Source organism: Homo sapiens, chromosome 17 (assembly GCF_000001405.40).
Source record: "Homo sapiens chromosome 17, GRCh38.p14 Primary Assembly".
Taxonomy (NCBI): Eukaryota; Metazoa; Chordata; class Mammalia; order Primates; family Hominidae; genus Homo; species Homo sapiens.
The window spans coordinates 4,185,149-4,204,660 of record NC_000017.11 but is presented as its reverse complement, the minus strand read 5'-3'; the positions used below and the strand labels follow the sequence as shown (position 1 = coordinate 4,204,660).

The following is a 19,512-nucleotide window of genomic DNA, read 5'->3' as shown; positions in this document are numbered from 1 at the left end:
TGTTTGATGATAAATCATCTTTGAGTTATTAAATATTTTGGTGATTGCTTAGATACAAGAATTGCCAAGAATTAGTGATACATTTTTGATGTTTATTTTCAGATGATTTAACCTTCCACTCTGAGTTTATTAATTGCTTGCAAGTATGTGGATTACAGCGTGGGTATAATAAACTTGATTTTGCTAACTTTAGAGTGTTGCATATTACGGTAGACAGAGCACTGGCTTTATGAAGCTGGTATTCACCAAGGTTTGAATCTGAGCTCATCTGTTTACTCTGTGGCCTTGGACAAGTCACATTCTACGTCTTCCTTATCCATAAAGTGGGAATTACTTTTGCTTTATTGGTTTGTTCAGAGAATGCGAGGCAATGTTAGTAGTACACCCAGCAGTGATTACCAGGGGAATGGTGGGGTCAACCCTGCCATTCATCGCTTGCCCCTGCGTTGGAAATGCCATAACCAGGTCCAGTTCCTGTAGGAGTTTTTTTCACTTTAACTGTTAAAGAGTGAAAGTCTTTAATATATGAGATTTTGGTTTAGTCTGAGCACACATTAGAATCTGTCAACAAAATAGTCAGTGATCATCCTAATAACCAAGTATACCAGTCATTTTATCTAAAGAGTGGAACAGGCAGGCAGTGTCTTGGGGGAGTCCACAGGGGGCACATGTTTGGCCAGAGGGATGCCATCTCCTTGGATTAGCCTGATCTGAGCAAGAAGATGAGTCTTCACTTTATAAAAACAGTTCTTCCTGAACTTTTTTACCTTAATAACCAACATCAGTTGATGGGTTTCTTTTTTCTTTCTTTCTTTCTTTTTTTTTTTTTTTTTGTTGTTGTTGTTGAGACGGAGTTTCGCTCCTGTCACCCAGGCTGGAGTGCAATGGCTCGGTCTCGGCTCACTGCAACCTCTGCCTCCCAGGTTCAAGCGATTCTCCTGCCTCAGCCTCCTGAGTAGCTGGGATTACAGGCACCTGCCACCACGCCCGGCTAATTTTGTATTTTTAGTAGAGACTGGGTTTCTCCATGTTGGTCAGGCTGGTCTTGAACTCCCAACCTTAGGTGATCCGCCCGCCTCAGCCTCCCAGAGTGCTGGGATTAAAGACGTGAGCCACTGCGCCTGGCCGATGAGTTTCTTCAGTAGATTGTTCCTGTTATTTTTAGTAAATTTGAAAATGATGCCACCAACTGGAGCAGCATGAAATATGGTTTGTATTAATTGAATAATGAAGGTTACTGGCTGAATAAAACCATCAAGAAGCTGCATTGAAAGAAATATTATATATGGATTTTTTTAGTGTGAAGTTTTTTGTTAGGAATATTTTTATATGGACGGATTGTAATAGTCAATAGTCATGCCTCATTTACCTGGCAGTGTCAGTGAATGAGGTGATGAAGTAACTGAAACTTTTAAGCACCAGCTTTTATTTTAACTGTTTCTGATGATTTGAAATCTTTCTAAAATGTGTTAACCATTTTCTTATTGACAGAAACCTTATAAACGGTGATTGTGACATTTTCTGTTCCCTCCCTTTGTTCTGCTCTTCTGATATCAGTTGTCCTTTTCCTTTATGTACCCTCTGGGCTTTCTTTTAATGTAAAACTTTATTAATTTTCTATTTCTAGTAATTTCTAAATAGCTTCTTTGTGTGGGGTGAATATATATATATATATATATGTGTATGATTATAAGTAAAAAGAACTTTATATTTGGATCTTATTAATAAAGTAAATCTGATCCAAAGTCTATAATTCTTCTAAGAGGACTTAAGGATTTAAGATATAAAATTTTTTTTTATCATGCTATCCATCTGAATCCAGTCATTCATAGGTTTTCATATACCTGTGCAGTATTGCCCAGTTTATCTTCTGTATGTTTGGTGTATTATACATTTTTCATTAACCTATCTTTTCTTAGCTTTACTGTGTATTTATCTCTCTTTTTTTTTTTTTTTTTTTTTTTGAGACGGAGTTTCGCTCTGTCGCCCAGGCTGAAGTGCAGTGGCACAATCTCGACTCACTGCAAGCTCCGCCTCCCGGGTTCACGCCATTCTCCTGCCTCAGCCTCCCGTGTAGCTGGGACTACAGGCGCGCGCCACCATGCCCGGCTAATTTTTGTATTTTTAGTAGAGACGGGGTTTCACCGTGTTAGCCAGGATGGTCTCGATCTCCTGACCTCGTGATCCGCCCGTCTCGGCCTCCCAAAGTGATGGGATTACAGGCGTGAGCCACTGCGCCCGGCCTCTTTTTTTTTTTTTTAAGACACAGTCTTGCCCTGTCACCCAGGCTGCAGTGCAGTGCTGCAATCTCGGCTCACTGCAACCTCCGCCTCCCGGGTTCAAGCGATTCTCCTGCCTCAGCCTCCCTAGTAGCTGGGATTACAGGCACATGCCACTACGCTTGGCTAATTTTTCTATTTTTGTAGCGATTGGGTTTGCCATGTTGGCCAGGCTGGTCTCAAACCCCTGGCCTCAAGTGAAATGCCCGCCTCGGCCTCCCAAAGTGCTGGGATTACAGTCAGGAGCCGCTGCGCCCGGCCACTATGTATTTGTGTCTTAGTTTGGAATATATTTTAAGCTTAAAGGTAATGAAACTACATTAACCCTTCTCCCCTGAGTATCTCATATTTTGGACTTTTCATTAAGGCCCTTTGTCCTAATAATTCTAAAGTTTCTTTCTACTCCCAGAATGTAAGTGGCCGTCTCTAGGATATTTAGTTGTATTGCTAATATATTGTTGTCTTTACATATTTTTTCCTATACCAAATCCGTGTGGAGTTTGTTCATGCTACAGAGTAGGACCCTCTGCGTATATGTATAAATGGATAGCAAAAGCCTGACCTAGCCTAACCCCCTATATGCATGTTACCTGCTGCCTGCAGTGCTTTACTGCCTCTGTACTGTGAAGAAATCTAAGCTTTGATACTGGGAAAGATTGCAACCTTCTGCACCCCTTACCCCACCCAAAACGGGAGCAGAAGAATGAAAATATTTCAAGAGAAGGGACTTACTGGAAAATTGTTAAGTTACCTGAAGTCATGATTCATTCAAATAAGAGCCTTTCTGATAAAGTAGAACCCAATAGCCCTAACCAGTCAAATCCATTTTCTTCTCAAACATTTCCCAGGTTCTGTTTTGTATAAGACAGTGTGAATACAAAAAAAAAAAAAAAAAAAAAAAATCAGACACAGGCCAATCTAGCATCTGAGGAGCGAGTCAGCATCTGAGGCCTCTTGTCTGCCCCAGTGCCAGAGCCCACATTCTCTAGCAAGATGGTCTCTTGGAAGAAAGCATAGAGCAGATGGGAAGTGTTGAAAAAGAGACAATCGGCCTGGGCGCAGTGGCTCACGCCTGTCATACCAGCACTTTGGGTGGCCAAGGTGGGAGGATCACTTGAGGCCAGGAGTTTGAGTCCAGCCTGGGCAACATAGTGAGACCTCACCTCTACAAAAATATTTTCAAATGAGCCAGGCAGGGTGGCATGCGCCTGTACCCCTAGCTACTTGGGAGGCTGAGGCAGGAGGATTTCTTGAGGCTGGGAGGCTGAGGTTGCAGTGAGCCATGATGGTACCACTGCACTCCAGCTTGACCAACAGAGTGAGACCCTGTCTCAAAAACCAAAAACCAAAACAAAAGCAAATGATTTTCTAATTTCATACCTACTGAGAACCAGATGAAACCTGTATATTCAAATGAAAATGGGCACAGGAATACAGGCAACAGACCTGAGAGAGCTTTACCACTCCTGAAACCCCATTCTAGATATTCAGACTGTAGATATGTAGTCGAAGGAGATGAAATGATATCGTAAGATATGAAAGGAAAACTTTGGAAGAGAGAGAAAATCATCGTCTCGAGTTGTGATTCAAAGGAGTCTGCACTCACAATTCTAACAATTAGGAACCGAAGCATCCTGATGCAAAGACAAAAGCACATCCTATGGAAAGATCCATAAATTAAAGAAGTTCCAAGGCAGCTTCAACAATCTAGCATTCATCGCAAGGTCACCCACACATTTAAGGAGTATAGTCAACTCTCATGGGACCAGCAAATCAAACTCTAGGACGTTGTTCTGCATGCTGGGGATCATCCAGCTGAAGAAGGATGTGATTTGCAAGAAATTCATCCTGTAGACCTTGGTGAAATGGAGACGGAATCTGCAGAAAGTACCTCTGAATCCCAGCTCTTGGGTTAACTTGCTATCACCCATCAGAGTCACACATGGGGACTTCAAGTTGCAAGTTGCAAATGATTTTTATTTGGAAGATGTTTAACTGAACCCTTGAAAGACTTTCCAGGCCAGGTGCCGTGGCTCACGCCTGTAATCCCAACACTTTGGGAGGCTGAGGTGGGCGGATTGCTTGAGCCCAGGAGTTCAAGACCAGCTTGGGCAATGGTAGCAAAACCCACCTCTACCAAAAACACAAAAAAATTAGCCGGGTATGTTGGCGTGCACCTGTAGTCCCAGCTACTCAGGAGGCTGAGCTGGGAGGATCAACTGAGCCCTGGAAGTTGAGGCTGCAGTGAGCCGTGATGATGACACTGCACTTCAGCCTGGGTGACAGAGTGAGACCCTGTCTCAAAAACAAAAAAAAAATCCCCAAAACCCAACTTTCCCGATATGAGCTCATTGATGCCACCTGGAGGCTACTGAGAGCAATTGCTTTCACCCAGCAAGGCGTGATGCCCCAAGCCTTTGTAACAGGTTTCTGTTCTGTGTGTTATGATGCTTTGCTATTCTTGCCTTGTTTTCTTAAGAAACATACATTTTATATATACATGGTGTTTGCGTGTTTTAAATGTTAAATATAACTAAATCCAAGAAAGACTGAACTTTTAATCTTACAACAAATTTAATTGCTTAATCCTTGTCATCCTCCAAGTTAACTTGACAAGTAAACTTTAACTGGTTTTTCAGAAGTATTTTTTAACACTAAATGGCCACTTGTCAGATTGCTTAGTTCCGAGTTTAACCATGTATTTGTAGAACCAATCTAGAGTCAATTTCTCTTTACTAGTGTCTGACAAAGTATTTTCACAAATGTGTACCATTAACATTTTCATCTTAATTCTTGGCCTTTTGTCAACATGTCAAGGTAGTTTTTTTCACTCCTACAGAGCATAAATAGTCAAAGATGGTAAATGAAACTATTAAAATTAATGAATTTTGGCCAGACACAGTGGCTTATGCCTGTAATCCCAGCACTTTGGGAGGCTGAGACAGGTGGATCCCTTCAGCCCAGGGGTTGGAGACCAGCCTGGGCAACATGGTGAAACCCCATCTCTACTAAAAATATAAAAAATAAGCCAGGCATGGTGGCATGCGTGCCTGTAGTCTCAGCTATTCAGGAGACTGAGTTAGGAGAATCCTCTGAGCCAAGAAGTTGAGTCTGCAATGAGCCGTGATCGTGCCAGTGCACCAGCCTGGGTGGCGGGGGTGAGACTCTGTCTCAAAAAATAAGAAGAAGAATGGTTTTTCTGTAAGTTACTCAGCCTTTGTTGAGTCAGGATCTCTCTCTGTCACCCAGGCTAGAGTGCAGTGGCACAGTCATAGCCCACTGCAGTCTCGAACTCTGGGGCTCAAGCGATCCTCCCACCTCATCCTCCTGAGTAGCTGGAACCACAGCTGTTGTCACCGCTCCTTGCTAAGTTTTTTTTTGTAGAGATGGGGTCTCCCCATGTTGCCAGGCTGGTCTTGAACTCTTGGGCTCAAGTGATCCTCCCACCTCGGCCTTCCAAAGACCTGGGATGTTATTCAGTCTTAATTTGATATCTGTAAATTGTCCTAGGTAGACTCTTATCTGTAATACTCCAAGAGGTAAGTCAATGGAAGGGATTTAGAAAGAAATTTTGTTTCCACAACAAGGTTATTTACCATGTGAAATTTTTGTAAATAGTAATGTGTACAGATACTCTGTTCAAATATTTCATTGTAAACTTCTTATTAAGTCAGTTATGTGTATATAATGAGATTACAAAACTAAAAAGAGGCCGGGCACGGTGGCTCACATCTGTAATCCCAGCATTTTGGGAGGCCGAGGCAGGTGGTTTTCCTGAGCTCAGGAGTTTGAGACCAGCCTGTACATCATGGTGAAACCCCGTCCCTACTAAAATACAAAAAATTAGCCAGGTGTGGTGGCACATGCCTATAGTCCCAGCTGCTTGGGAGGCTGAGACATGAGAATTGCTTGAATTTCGGAGGCGGAAGTTGCAGTGAGCTGAGATTGCACCACGGCACTCCAGCCTGGGTGACAGAGCAAGGCTCTGTCTGAAAAAAAAAAAAATCTAAAAAGAAAATAAATTTTATAATAATAAAACAGACATGGGATTACTCTGAGTAGGAACGTGAATGCAAGTACAGCAGAATGGGGGTAGGTGTTGCTTAGTTAGGTACAAGCTGTGGTCAGGAAATAAGAAAGAAAGAGAAAGAGAGAGAGAAATTGTGTAGGGAGGGATCCTGGAAACCCTTCTGAGAGATGACCGAAGGAGGCCTTTGAAGAGTAGAAGCCTAGTGTTCTTTTTTTTTTTTTTAAGACGGAGTTTTGCTCTTAATCCCCAGGCTGGAGTGCAATGATGTGGTCTCAGCTCACCGCAACCTCCACCCCCTGGGTTCAAGCGAATCTCGTGCCTCAGCCTCCCAAGTAGCTGGGATTACAGGCGTGCACCACCACGCCCGGCTAGTTTTGTATTTGTAGTAGAGACGGGGTTTTTCCCTGTTGGTCAGGCTGGTCTCCAACTCCCGACCCCAGGTGATCCGCCCACCTCGGCCTCCCAAAGTGTTGGGACGACAGGCATGAGCCACTGCGCCTGGCCCAGCCTAGTATTCTTAAACAGTGAAAGGATACTGAGGTGAGGAGGCAGGACAAGTGGTAACAGGTAACCAAAAATTGAGCAGAGCCTTTTGAATTCGTCTGTAACTCCATGATCTCAATGAGTTTCCACTTACAGATGCCCCAAGAGGTTCCTTCAGACACATCTAGTTATCGCTCTCCTTTGTCTGCAGTCATTTTCTGCTCCCTCTTGAAGAAGCACTGGCCAGAATACTTTGCCCTGACACTGTTTCTTCTATTATTTCTTTTCAAGGAGATCTCTTTGCTGCCACTTTCCTCATTAAGAATGGGGCCTTTGTCAACGCTGCTACACTGGGTGCCCAGGAGACACCACTGCACCTTGTGGCCTTGTACAGTTCAAAGAAACACTCAGCAGATGTGATGTCTGAGATGGCGCAGATTGCAGAGGCCCTTCTGCAGGCTGGTGCCAACCCCAACATGCAGGACAGCAAGGGGAGGTAAGCTGGGGAGCAGACACTGTGCCCTTAGCACTGTTCTCAGAAGATATCTTACAGTAGCATGTAATTGGCATACGGGGAGTTCATGTTCTTTAGTTTGGCATTATTCAGTCTTATTTTCATTAAAGTCACAGACATCGATGTGTAGTAGTAGTGTCACTACTAAAACCAGAGGCATTTGGGGAAAACATTTCTATCCTGGGTAACTGAAGTCTTCGAGGTTTTTTTTGTGTGTTGTTTGTTTGTTTTTAATTGTGTCAGCATCTCACTCTGTCACCCAGGCTGGAGCGCAGTGGTATGATCTTGGCTCACTGCAGCCTCTACCTCCTGAGCACAGGTGATCCTCTCACCTCAGCCTCCTGAGTAGGTGAGACTACAGGCACACGCCACCCCACTTGGCTGATTTTTGTATTTTGGTGGAGACAGGGTTTTGCCATGTTGTCCAGGCTGGCCTCGAACTCCTGAGCTCAAGCAATCTGCCCACCTCGGTCTCCCAAAGTGCTGGGATTACGGGCGTGAGCCAGTTTTCGAGCTTTTAAGCAATTTGTATCTCATGTTTGAAGGAACCAGAGTGGTCATCTAGTCCAGTGCCTCCAAGGAAACCTTGTAGCATTTCTTAGAGTTGCTTGGATAGTTTGAAGAACTATTGAGGTCTAATTGTTAGAAAATTCTAATTGTTAGAAAATTCTCTATATTAAACCCAATTTTACCTTCTCGTAAACACTCCCACTTTATCTGCACAGCTTGCTACCTTTGTCCATAGCACGGCCCTTTGCATATTTAACAATATTTATTGTGTTCATTTTGCCCCTTTCCAGAAATAGTTGAGGATTCCTTGTGGTAGGATCTGAGAAAAGGCTACTTGTCTTGGGACAGTGGTGTGAGGGGCTGTGAAGGATAGTTAAGTCACCTGAATCACTGACCACAGTTGGGACCCGCTTGTCATTAGAACATTCTCAGTATTTTATACCTTTGAAAAACCTCTCAAAAAAAAGATTTTTTGTAAAGTTTGGTTGTCAGACAGGAGAATGTATTTATGTGATAGATAAGTACGTAAATAAGATGTAGCTTCATGAAATCTCAGTATCATGTGATAATTACCTTATTTCCTAAAATAATTGCATCCCTTTCCCTGCTGTTGATTCTTTCATTTTTTTCCTCCAACGGCAATAAACTCGCAGTGTGTGTGTGTGTGTGTGTGTGTGTGTGTGTGTGTGTGTGTGTGTGTAGTAGATGCAGCCTTGGGCTCTGACTCAAAGTGTGTGTTTTTGGGGGGAGGTGGGGGGCGGGGTAGGTGCAGCCTTGGGCCCTGACTCACTGTGTGGGTGGGGGGTGGTGGGGGGGGTGGGTGGGTAGGTGCAGCCTTGGGCCCTGACTCGGGGGTGTGTGTGTGTGTGTGTTAGTGGTGGCTCTGCAGTGCCAGTCTCCTGCAGGGCTCCCGAGTGCTAAATGAAAGCAGTGAAAGGGGTTAAATGCCGCTTTCATCAGTTCTTTCCTGTTGCTGCTCTGAGTGTGTTTGAGAAGAATAGAAGATTATGGGGGAGAGTTTCCTTTTAGAATTGATGGAGAAGAGATGAGGGAAAATCTGCACACCTGTGGCAGAAACTGCTGTTCTCAAGAAAATCCTGTCTGTGCCTTCAGGAAGGGGTTGGGATTGAGTTGGGGAGTATTTGAGATCACTTCCTTGAGCTGATTCTTGTCCATTTTGGCCGCTGAATAATGGTCACATATAAGCAGATCCGTTTTCAGGTTTTGATACTGGGTCATGGTTTTAGAAGCCTTGTAGAAATGTGGGATTTCTTGCGGGTGGTGATTCTGCCTGGGATTCTGGTTGCGTCTTGCCGTGAGTCATCCTGAACAGGCCTGTCCTGAACTGACCCCTCTTCTTTTGGATCCCGCAGGACTCCTTTACATGTGTCCATCATGGCCGGGAATGAATATGTGTTCAGTCAGCTGCTGCAGTGCAAACAGTACGTAGGGAGACACGCACAAGTGAGAAGGCGGTTGTGAGGGGGGATTGTGAGTGAAAAATCATTCTTTTTAAACATCTTTAGTGTTGCATATATTAAGAAGTTAAAGTGAGCTAAAAAAAAATGTGTCATTGAAAAAGGGTAAAGAGAAAGAACCAGGTTGTTGTCAGTATAGAGTGTCTCAAAAAGATTGTATGTGCTGTTGACACTGCTTCTGCTTTTCAGACTAGATTTAGAACTCAAAGACCACGAGGGCAGCACGGCTCTGTGGCTGGCAGTGCAGCATATCACAGTGTCTTCTGACCAGTCTGTGAACCCCTTCGAAGATGTCCCCGTGGTAAATGGGACTTCATTTGATGAGAACAGCTTTGCAGCCAGACTCATCCAGCGCGGCAGCCACACAGACGCACCTGACACGGCGACAGGTAAAGCACGTGCCTCCCGAAGGGGCGACGCTGGGGTCTGCAGGCGCCAGGAAATGGCATGTAAATGCCTTCACCCCAAATTTAGAAACTGAACGGCATACTATGAGGATAATTATTTTGTACTTAATTTTATATACAGTAAAAGCCTGGGTTGTCATTTTTAAAAATCCTGTGCTTCAAACAATTGAGCAGACATCAAGTCCCTGAAACTGAAACTTCCATTTATTTAATGCGGCGACTCGCAGACTCTTTGGACTCAAGAATTCCTTTGACCGTCTTAAAAATTGTACCCCAGAGAGCTTTTCTTTAGGTGGGTTATAACTTCAGTATTTACCATATTAGACTACACTTTGAGAACACTGTTTTAATGTATTTCCTTGATCTGACTAAATAAAATAACAGGGATATTTTAAGGAGAGGGATTTGGTGTAATTCAGTATTGAGTACTGGCAATGCATAAAACATGGGTAGGTGTCACTCACACAGGAAGACTTGACCAAAAAAAAAAAAAAAAAAAAAGATGGATATTAAAACAGCCCTTTCCCTAAAGAAGTTAATAATTAAAGGTTGGCCAGGCGTGGTGGCTCACACCTGTAATCCCAGCATTTTGGGAGGCCGAGGTGGGTGGATCACCTGAGGTCAGGAGTTTGAGACCAGGGTGGCCCCTTTAGAGACTGAAACCTGTCGCTACTGAAAAAACAAATTATCAGCTGGGCATGGTGGCGGGCTCCTGTCATCCCAGCTACTCAGGAAAGGCCGGAGAATCGCTTGAAACTGGGAGGCAGAGGTTGCAGTGAGCCAAGATCGTGCCATCGCACTCCAGCCTGGGTGAGGAGACTGAAACTCCGTCTCAAAAAAAAAAAAAAAAAAAAAATATATATATATATATATGGCCGGGCGTGGTAGCTCATGCCTGTAATCCCAAAGCATGGTAGCTCACACCTGTAATCCTAGCACTTTGGGAGGCTGAGGCCGGTGGATCACCTGAGGTTAGCAGTTCCAGATCAGCCAGGCCAACATGGTGAAAGCCTGTCTTTACTAAAAATGCAAAAATAGCTGGGCTGGTGGCCACGCACTGTAATCCCAGCTACTCAGGACGCTGAGGTAGGAGAATTGCTTGAACCCAGGAGACAGAGGTTGCAGTGAGCCAAGATCGCGTCACTGCACTCCAGCCTGGGCAACAGAGCAAGACTCCATCTCAAAAATAAGTAAATTAATTAATTAAAATAAAATAAAAAAAAATTAAAGGTCAGCCAGGCGCAGTGGCTCACGCCTGTTAATCCCAGCACTTTGGGAGGCCGAGGCAGGCAGATCACCTGAGGTCAGGAGTTCGAGACCATCCTGGCCAACATGGTGAAACACCGTCTCTACTGAAATACAAAAATTAGCCGGGCGTGATGGCGATGCCTGTAATCCCAGCTACTTGGGGGGCTGAGGTGGAAGAATCACTTGAACCCGGGAAGCGGAGGTTGCAGTGAGCCAAGATCGTGCATTGCACTCCAGCCTGGGCAACAAGAATGAAACTCCATCTCAAAAAAAAAAAAAAAAAAAAAAAAAAGAGTCGACTGGTGGCTCATGCCTGTACTCTGAGCTACTCAGGAGGCTGATGTGGGAGGATTGCTTGAGGCCAGGAGTTGGAGGCTGCAGTGAGCTATGATCACTCCACTGTACTCCAGCCTGGGTGACAGAGCAAGATTCTCTCTCTTAAAAAACAAACAAACAAAAGGCTTGAATGTTAGACTCTTACAGAACTAGTTTTTATAAAAGTCTGACATGTGTTTGAAAAGAATATGCATTCTTTAATTATAGGATGCAGCATTCTCTATGTGCATTAAATCAAGCTTGTTCATTATGCTGTTCAAATCTTACATATTCTTACTAACTTTTGGACTGCTTGATCTGTCAGTTTCTGAGAGGTATATTAAAATTTTTCATTGGTTATGGTTTTGTCCATTTTTCTTGCTGGTTCTGTCAATTTTATATTATATAGTTTTAATTGTTAAGTCTAGACAGGCTCAGGATTGTTTTTTCTATTGATATATTTCATTTTTCATTATACGTGTAATCTTAGTCCACTAGTTTTTTTAATTTTTAATTTTTATTTTTTTAATTTTAAGGCTAGTCAGGTGAAGCAGTGGGAGTGAAGAAGGAACAAAGAAATCTGTAACTGGTTTTGATGAGTTTTAAACACCACTGCACCCGGACCAGCCAATTCGTCCACTCGCTTTTAACGGTTTAGTGATGTTTTGGCAGTCATGGGTTATCTTTGTTCTATTGGGAGATATAGAATTTAAGTCTTGTGTACAGTGGAATGACTGCAAGCATAAACATGGAATTCGGAGTCTCCAGATTAACCATCAACTAGGAGTCTCCAGATTAACCATCAACTAGGAGTCTCCAGATTAGAGTAACCATCAACTAGGAGTCTCCAGATTAGAGCAACCATCAACTAAGAGTCTCCAGATTAACCATCAACTAGGAGTCTCCAGATTAGAGTAACCATCAACTAGGAGTCTCCAGATTAGAGCAACCATCAACTAAGAGTCTCCAGATTAACCATCAACTAGGAGTCTCCAGATTAGAGCAGCCATCAACTAGGAGTCTCCAGATTAACCATCAACTAGGAGTCTCCAGATTAGAGCAACCATCAACTAAGAGTCTCCAGATTAGAGTAACCATCAACTAGGCGTCTCCAGATTAGAGTAACCATCAACTAGGAGTCTCCAGATTAGAGCAACCATCAACTAGGAGTCTCCAGATTAGAGCAACCATCAACTAGGAGTCTCCAGATTAACCATCAACTAGGAGTCTCCAGATTAGAGCAACCATCAACTAAGAGTCTCCAGATTAGAGTAACCATCAACTAGGCATCTCCAGATTAGAGTAACCATCAACTAGGAGTCTCCAGATTAGAGCAACCATCAACTAGGAGTCTCCAGATTAACCATCAACTAGGAGTCTCCAGATTAACCATCAACTAGGAGTCTCCAGATTAACCATCAACTAGGAGTCTCCAGATTAGAGCAACCATCAACTAAGAGTCTCCAGATTAGAGTAACCATCAACTAGGCGTCTCCAGATTAGAGTAACCATCAACTAGGAGTCTCCAGATTAGAGCAACCATCAACTAGGAGTCTCCAGATTAGAGCAACCATCAACTAAGAGTCTCCAGATTAGAGTAACCATCAACTAGGCATCTCCAGATTAGAGTAACCATCAACTAGGAGTCTCCAGATTAGAGCAACCATCAACTAGGAGTCTCCAGATTAACCATCAACTAGGAGTCTCCAGATTAACCATCAACTAGGAGTCTCCAGATTAACCATCAACTAGGAGTCTCCAGATTAACCATCAACTAGGAGTCTCCAGATTAGAGTAACCATCAACTAGGAGTCTCCAGATTAGAGCAACCATCAACTAGGAGTCTCCAGATTAGAGTAACCATCAACTAGGAGTCTCCAGATTAGAGCAACCATCAACTAAGAGTCTCCAGATTAGAGTAACCATCAACTAGGCGTCTCCAGATTAGAGTAACCATCAACTAGGCATCTCCAGATTAGAGCAACCATCAACTAGGCGTCTCCAGATTAACCATCAACTAGGAGTCTCCAGATGAGAGCAACCATCAACTAAGAGTCTCCAGATTAGAGCAACCATCAACTAGGCGTCTCCAGATTAACCATCAACTAGGAGTCTCCAGATTAGAGCAGCCATCAACTAGGAGTCTCCAGTATAGAGCAACCATCAACTAGGAGTCGGATTCCTGTCTCTGAGGGATAAGGAAAAACATGGTATGAAAGCAAAGTAGTACTTTGTCCCATTTCTTTTTGTTTGTTTGTTTTGAGACAGTTTCGCTCTGTCGCCCAGGCTGGAGTGCGGTGGGACTATCTCGGCTCACTGCAACCTCTGCCTCCTGGGTTCAAGTGATTCTCCTGCCTCAGCCTCCTGAGTAGCTGAGATTACAGGCATGTGCCACCAGGCCTGGCTAGTTTTTATATTTTTAGTAGAGACAGGGTTTCACCATGTTGGCCAGGCTTGTCTCGAACTCCTGAGCTCAAATTATCCACCCAACTCAGCCTCCCAAAGTGCTGGGATGACAGGCAATGAGCCACCGTGCCCGGCTGTCACAGTTCTTTATCTTGTTTTCAGTCCTGGTGTTTGGTTTATTTAGAATTTCAAATAGTATAGCTGTTGACATGAGAGAGTTTGTTCATTTTTGGAAATGGATTTTAAAAGCTGAGAAACACTGTTTTAGGGCTAAAACCATTTAGAGAGAAAAAAAAACTCATTTTTTTCTTTCCAAGGTTTTTATTTAGAAAAGAGTAACAGTGCTAAGGAAAATATTTCTAAGCCAAGAACAAACATATTTAAAGCATTAGGAATAAAACTGAAGTATTTAAGGGGCATTTTCTAATAGGACTTAAAATGTTTTCAAAATGGTCATCCAGCCAAGTGGTTTTCAGCCAGGCACAATCCTGCCTTTATTGCCTGAGAACATTTGTCAACATCTGTAGACATTTCTTTTTTTTTTTTCTTTGAGACAGAGTCTTGTTCTGTCGCCCAGGCTGGAGTGCAGTGGCACGATCTTGGCTCACTGCAACCTCTGCCTCGTGGGTTCAAGCAATTCCTGTGTCTCAGCCTCCCGAGTAGCTGGGATTACAGGTGTGCACCACCAAGCCTGGCTAATTTTTGTATTTTTAGTAGAGACAGGTTTTCACCATGTCGGCCGGGCTGATCTCAAACTGCTGGCATCAAGTAATCCGCCTGCCTCGGCCTCCAAAAGTGCTGGGATGACTGCTGTGAGCCACCACACTGGCCAACATCTACAGACATTTCTAATTGTCTTTAAGTTCAGAGGATGCTGCCGAACATTGTACAGTGTGCAGAACAGACCCCACAACAAAGAATTTATCCTGTCCAAAATGTCCGTAGCACCACTGTTGAGAAATCTTGCTCTAACCCACCCTCAGCAAGGGGACAGAACTTCCCTCCCGTCCTGGGCAGTGGCTAGCGGGAATCCCAGGGAGGAATTGGATGTTCCAGCCCGGGGCGTTCCCTAGCCTCTGTGTCCACACACAGAGAGTACCTGTGTGGATGCTCCAGCCTGGGGCATTCCCTAGCCTCTGTGTCCACATACAGAGAGTACCTATGTGGACTTAAATGATACCTACTGTCTGGCGTGGGCTTACTGTCTGGCGTGGACCTACTGTCTGGCGTGGACCTACTGTCTGGCGTGGACCTACTGTCTGGCGTGGGCCTACTGTCTGGCGTGGGCCTACTGTCTGGCGTGGGCCTACTGTCTGGTGTGGGCCTACTCTCTGGCGTGGGCCTACTCTCTGGCGTGGGCCTACTGTCTGGCGTGGGCCTACTGTCTGGTGTGGGCCTACTGTCTGGCGTGGGCTTGCCAGTCATAGGGTGGCAGGGAAGAGCAGGGTGTTGTGCAGCGTGACCGCATTTTGATGCAAACAGAAGAATCAGCAATGCCCATTTTCTTTTAGGAAACTGTTTACTACAGCGGGCAGCTGGAGCAGGAAACGAGGCAGCAGCTCTTTTCCTGGCAACCAACGGTGCCCATGTCAACCACAGAAACAAGTGGGTAAGTGTGACAGGGCAGCCGGAGAAAATGGTGTTGATCTATGGAAGAAATGGCAGTGGTGGATATGTAGGAAAAAGGGGAATAGGTGGTTTTTTTCAGTTTTTAATCAGAATAATACATGCATATGGTTAAAAAGCCAGAGTGAAACAGATTATTTTGTGTTTCTTCAAATATTGGTTGATTGATTCATTCAGCAGCCATTTCCTAAGCGTTTGTGTAGGAAACAGTGCTTGTTCAGGTTATCAGACCCCGAACTAGATGCTATGGACTTTAATAGAGGTTAGCAAACGCGTGCACAAACCTACCGCGATAGCATTTGATTCTTGATAACACTTCACATTTGCTTGGGTTTTCCTCTGTGGATTGTCACGTATGAGTCTATGTCGCACGCTAACAAGGTGGAATGTGCGGTGTTATGAATAAAAGTGTTACCTTTGGGGTTGGACGTTACCGAGTTTACCAGCTTTCCCATTTCCTCCCTATGCAGTCTTCTTCTTTTTTTTTTTTTTTTTCTTGAGACACAGTTTTGCTCTTGTTGCCCAGGGTGGAGTGCAATGGGGCAATCTCGGCTCACCACAACCTCTGCCACCTGGATTCAAGCAATTCTCCTGCCTCAGCCTCCAGAATAGCTGGGATTGCAGGGATGCACCACCACGCCCAGCTAAATGCTTATTAGCATAATATCTGAGACATTAGGTACTATTTGATAGTTATTTTTACTTTATTATTTTCAGACCATGAGGATGTGCTTGTCTTCAAGATCACATTTATTTTACGGTCACTTTCTGCTAGCAGCTTTAAGGCTATTATCCCTTTTAATTTTCACAGTGGACCTGGAAGCAGCATGTATCGTTAGGATTGAAGAAGCCTTTCCCACATCAATCAATTCTCTATTTTGGAGTCAAGGACCTTGAGGTTCTGAGAGGTTAAGTGGCTTATAAATAATGAGGTGTCCACATTAAGACTCCAGCACAAGGCTATCTAGTTGCACACTGTCTCAACAGCACTGGGCAAGGCAGTAAACAGTGAGCTTGGTATCTGAGCCAGACAAGTGTATCTTGGTACAGGACAGAGGGCAGTGCCATCCTTTCCACTGCTGACTCCACTATGTGTCTGCACACAGCCAACTCTCCAGCCAGAGTGACAGCGCGGCCCCGTGCGCACCGGCCAGAGTGACGGCATGGCCTCGTGCCCACCGGCCAGAGTGATGGCATGGCCCCATGCCCACCAGAGGCTGCTGCTTGTTTTGGGCTCAGCATCTCAGCATCTCGTGCCCTCTCACCTTCTCCATGCCTCTGCTCTTGCCATCGTGTGTCTCTGTCTCTTTCTTTTCCTCCTGCATCATTAGCTTTGCCCATTATTCATTTCTAATAGCATAGAGACATGCTCTACTATCTCCTAACTTAAAATCTTCTGCTGGGCACGGTGGCTCACGCCTGTAATCCCAAAACTTTGGGAGGCTGAGGTGGGCAGATCGCCTGAGGTCAGGAGTTGGAGACCAGCCTGGCCAACATGGCGAAACCCTGTCCCTACTAAAAATACAAAAATTAGCTGGGCGAGGTGGCCAGTGCCTGTAATCCCAGCTACTCGGGAGGCTGAGGCAGGAGAATCGCTTGAACCTGGGAGGCAGAGGTTGCAGTGAGTGGCGATTGCGCTGCTGCACTCCAGCCTGGGGCACAGAGTGAGATTTTGTCTCGGAAAACAAAAAACAAACAAAAAAAAACCTCCCTTGGGCCCACATTGTCTACCCGCTGTTGTTCCTTCTCTGAATACCCTTCATAGCAAAACTAGGTCAAACCCAAGCTGTAGAGAAACGGGAGGCCTCACTTGAAAGCACTGGAGACCAGCACTGCAGAAGGGCCTGGAACACTGGCTTCCGCTGTGTGGGCTTTATCCTGTGGGGACAGAAGAGCCATTGGAGGGTTTTGGGCAGAGAAGTAGTGTGATTCTTCTGGAGCTGAGAAAACTGCCTGGGATGGCTGGCATGGTGGGTGTGCCGTGGAGTCCAGGCTGGAGCCAAGTGGGAGTCATCTTGACAAGCAATGACCTGTCCTGTCCTGTCCTCTCACACTGCATTTGGATCCAAAGGAACAGGTTTCACAGGAATTGCAGAATCAGTCTGTGACACGCATGCTTGAGGCTCCCAGAAGCGAGGGCAAGAGAGCTGTTAAAACCCCTGTGGTGCAAGAATGACGTAATGGAATTTGGGAACTTGGAGGGGAAGCTTGGGAGGGCGGTGGGGGATAAAAGGGTGATACTGGGTACAGTGTACACTGCTCAGGTGACGGGTGCACTAACATTAAGAAATCACCACCGAAGAACTTATCCGTGGAACCAGAAACCACCTGTACCCCAAAGACACTGAAATACGAATTTAAAAAAAACAGTTGCGGCGAACCCATGGAAAAACAGAGGAAACTGGCCAGGAGGAGGAGCCTGTGTGTGGGAATAAATTCCATTGTGATTTTTGAATTTCTACACATTTAAGGTAGGGATGTCTAACAGGCAGTGGGAAAATTAGATGCAAGAATGGGGCTGGAGACCTGGGTTTGAGAGTCTCTTCCTTGCAGATAATGGCAGAAGCCGTGGAGTAGATCAGCACACCCAAGGAGAATGCGTAGGAAGAAGGTCTGGAACAGAAGACAGCCCCGAGGAGGAGGGGTAGAGGAGCGGGAGGAGCAGGGGAGGAGGAGGAAGAGGACATACTTGGGCGGGCTCACACTGCAATTACAGTTCCCCTGTATGGGGAGGATTTGGGATGGGAAGCGCGCACTCTGGGTCAAGGCGTAAAAGTACTCAATCCTTATCTGCCACAGTGGAAAGTCCCACAGATAATGTTCAAAGCTGGAAAATCAAGAGGCAGCAATAAAAACATGTTGGTTAGAAATATGGAGAGTTACAAAACCCAGCTGGAAGAGTTAAAAGTGATTCCTGCTGGGAAAGGATATTTTTTTTTTTTTAGGCTAGCCAAGTGAGGCAGTGGGAGTGAAGGAACAAATGAATCTGTAACTGGTTGTGATCAGTTAGTTGTAAACATCACCGCCAGGGATCTTGCTGATTTTTACAAGAAGCCTTGGAGAGTTCTTGCCTCTAAGTGATGATGTATAACTCTGATGAGGGCAGGCACCTTATGCAAGCGCCGTACTGCAGGCAGAGTGGTGCATTCCGTTCATTTCCACTTGTTGGGGTGAAAACACTCCAGTGTGTGTGTTTACATACGGACATACACGTGGACACGCCCACATGCATGTGTGTGTGCATACGTGTGTTTTCCTGGGAGGGTTCTGTCAATGGAGAGAAACATGAAAGTGGTAATAATGGTTCCAAATGTGAGAGGAAACTTCGTTTTAAATGTTGCATCAGGTAGCGGTAATACCAATTAAAAATATTTTTAACTTTTAAAAGTAGGAGAAGGAGGTCTTGATCAGAGCTCAAGATGAGATTGATACAAGCAGGCCACAGAGACGGAGCTAAAGAAGAAGCGACGGCCACAGCGTTAAGGCTGCCGATTGCCGGGGCTTAGGTCCGGGCGGGGGCTGCGCGGCTCTCCCATTTGTTGTACTATTTATTTTGGTGACACTTGGAGCTTGTTATTGTTCTGTCGTGATAAGCATATATTATTTTTATAATTAGAAAAAAAAGAATTATAAAACAAAGCGAAGGGTGGTTAAAGAGGACCTTGGAGGTGAAGTCAAGAAGCCAGTGCTTTCGGAAGGTGCTTGGGGAAGACACTGAAGAAACTAAGGGTGGAACCAGGCGCAGTGCCTCACGCCTGTAACCCCAGCTATTTGGGAAGCTGAGGCAAGAGGACTGCTTGTGGCTAGAAGTTTGAGTCCAGCCTGGGCAACACAGCGAGATGCTGCTTCAAAAAAAAAAATGGGCCGGGCGTGGTGGCTCACGCTTGTAATCCCAGCACTTTGGGAGTCCGAGTTGGGTGGATCACAAGGTCAGGAGTTTGAGACCAGCCTGGCTAACATGGTGAAACCTGTCTGTACTAAAAATACAAAAATTAGCTGGGTGTGGTGGTGCGTGCCTGTAATCCCAGCTACTCAGGAGGCTGAGGGAGGAGAATCGCTTGAACCCGGGAGGCAAAGGTTGCAGTGAGCCGAGATCTTGACACTGCACTCCAGCCTGGGTGACAGAGCGGGACTCCGTCTCAAAACAAACAAAAAAAGATACTGAGAGCGATGGCTCAGGAGAAAGAGAACAGAAGTCAGGAGGGGCAGCTGGCGG

The 19,512-nt window shown here is 45.0% G+C and overlaps 1 protein-coding gene and 1 pseudogene across 10 annotated transcripts in view, besides 1 other annotated feature; both read left to right on the top strand.

Annotated features, from left to right (window-relative positions):
- Positions 1 to 19,512, top strand: part of ANKFY1 (ankyrin repeat and FYVE domain containing 1) — a 100,159-nt gene that overhangs the window by 59,319 nt on the left and 21,328 nt on the right. For 9 of the 10 annotated variants that reach the window (NR_047571.3, NM_001330063.2, NM_016376.5 and 6 more), the window contains 4 exons: positions 7,084 to 7,288; positions 9,190 to 9,258; positions 9,484 to 9,683; positions 15,182 to 15,279. Coding sequence is in view for 9 of the 10 variants with exons in the window: in NM_001330063.2 (NP_001316992.1) it covers positions 7,084 to 7,288; positions 9,190 to 9,258; positions 9,484 to 9,683; positions 15,182 to 15,279 (572 nt within the window). In the remaining variant the exon portion in view is untranslated. Of the gene's footprint in view, positions 1 to 7,083; positions 7,289 to 9,189; positions 9,259 to 9,483; positions 9,684 to 15,181; positions 15,280 to 19,512 lie in introns of those variants that run through there. The other variant, XM_047436225.1, reaches the window with a different exon arrangement.
- LOC100420060 (stem-loop histone mRNA binding protein pseudogene) lies at positions 3,701 to 4,294 on the top strand (annotated as a pseudogene).
- Positions 16,976 to 17,975: an enhancer, noted in NCBI's record as "H3K27ac-H3K4me1 hESC enhancer chr17:4089981-4090980 (GRCh37/hg19 assembly coordinates)". NCBI's record gives its function as "activates a minimal SCP1, AML or CMV promoter by ChIP-STARR-seq in primed H9 embryonic stem cells {active_cell/tissue: H9 hESC(primed)}" and the evidence as "EXISTENCE:reporter gene assay evidence [ECO:0000049][PMID:30033119]".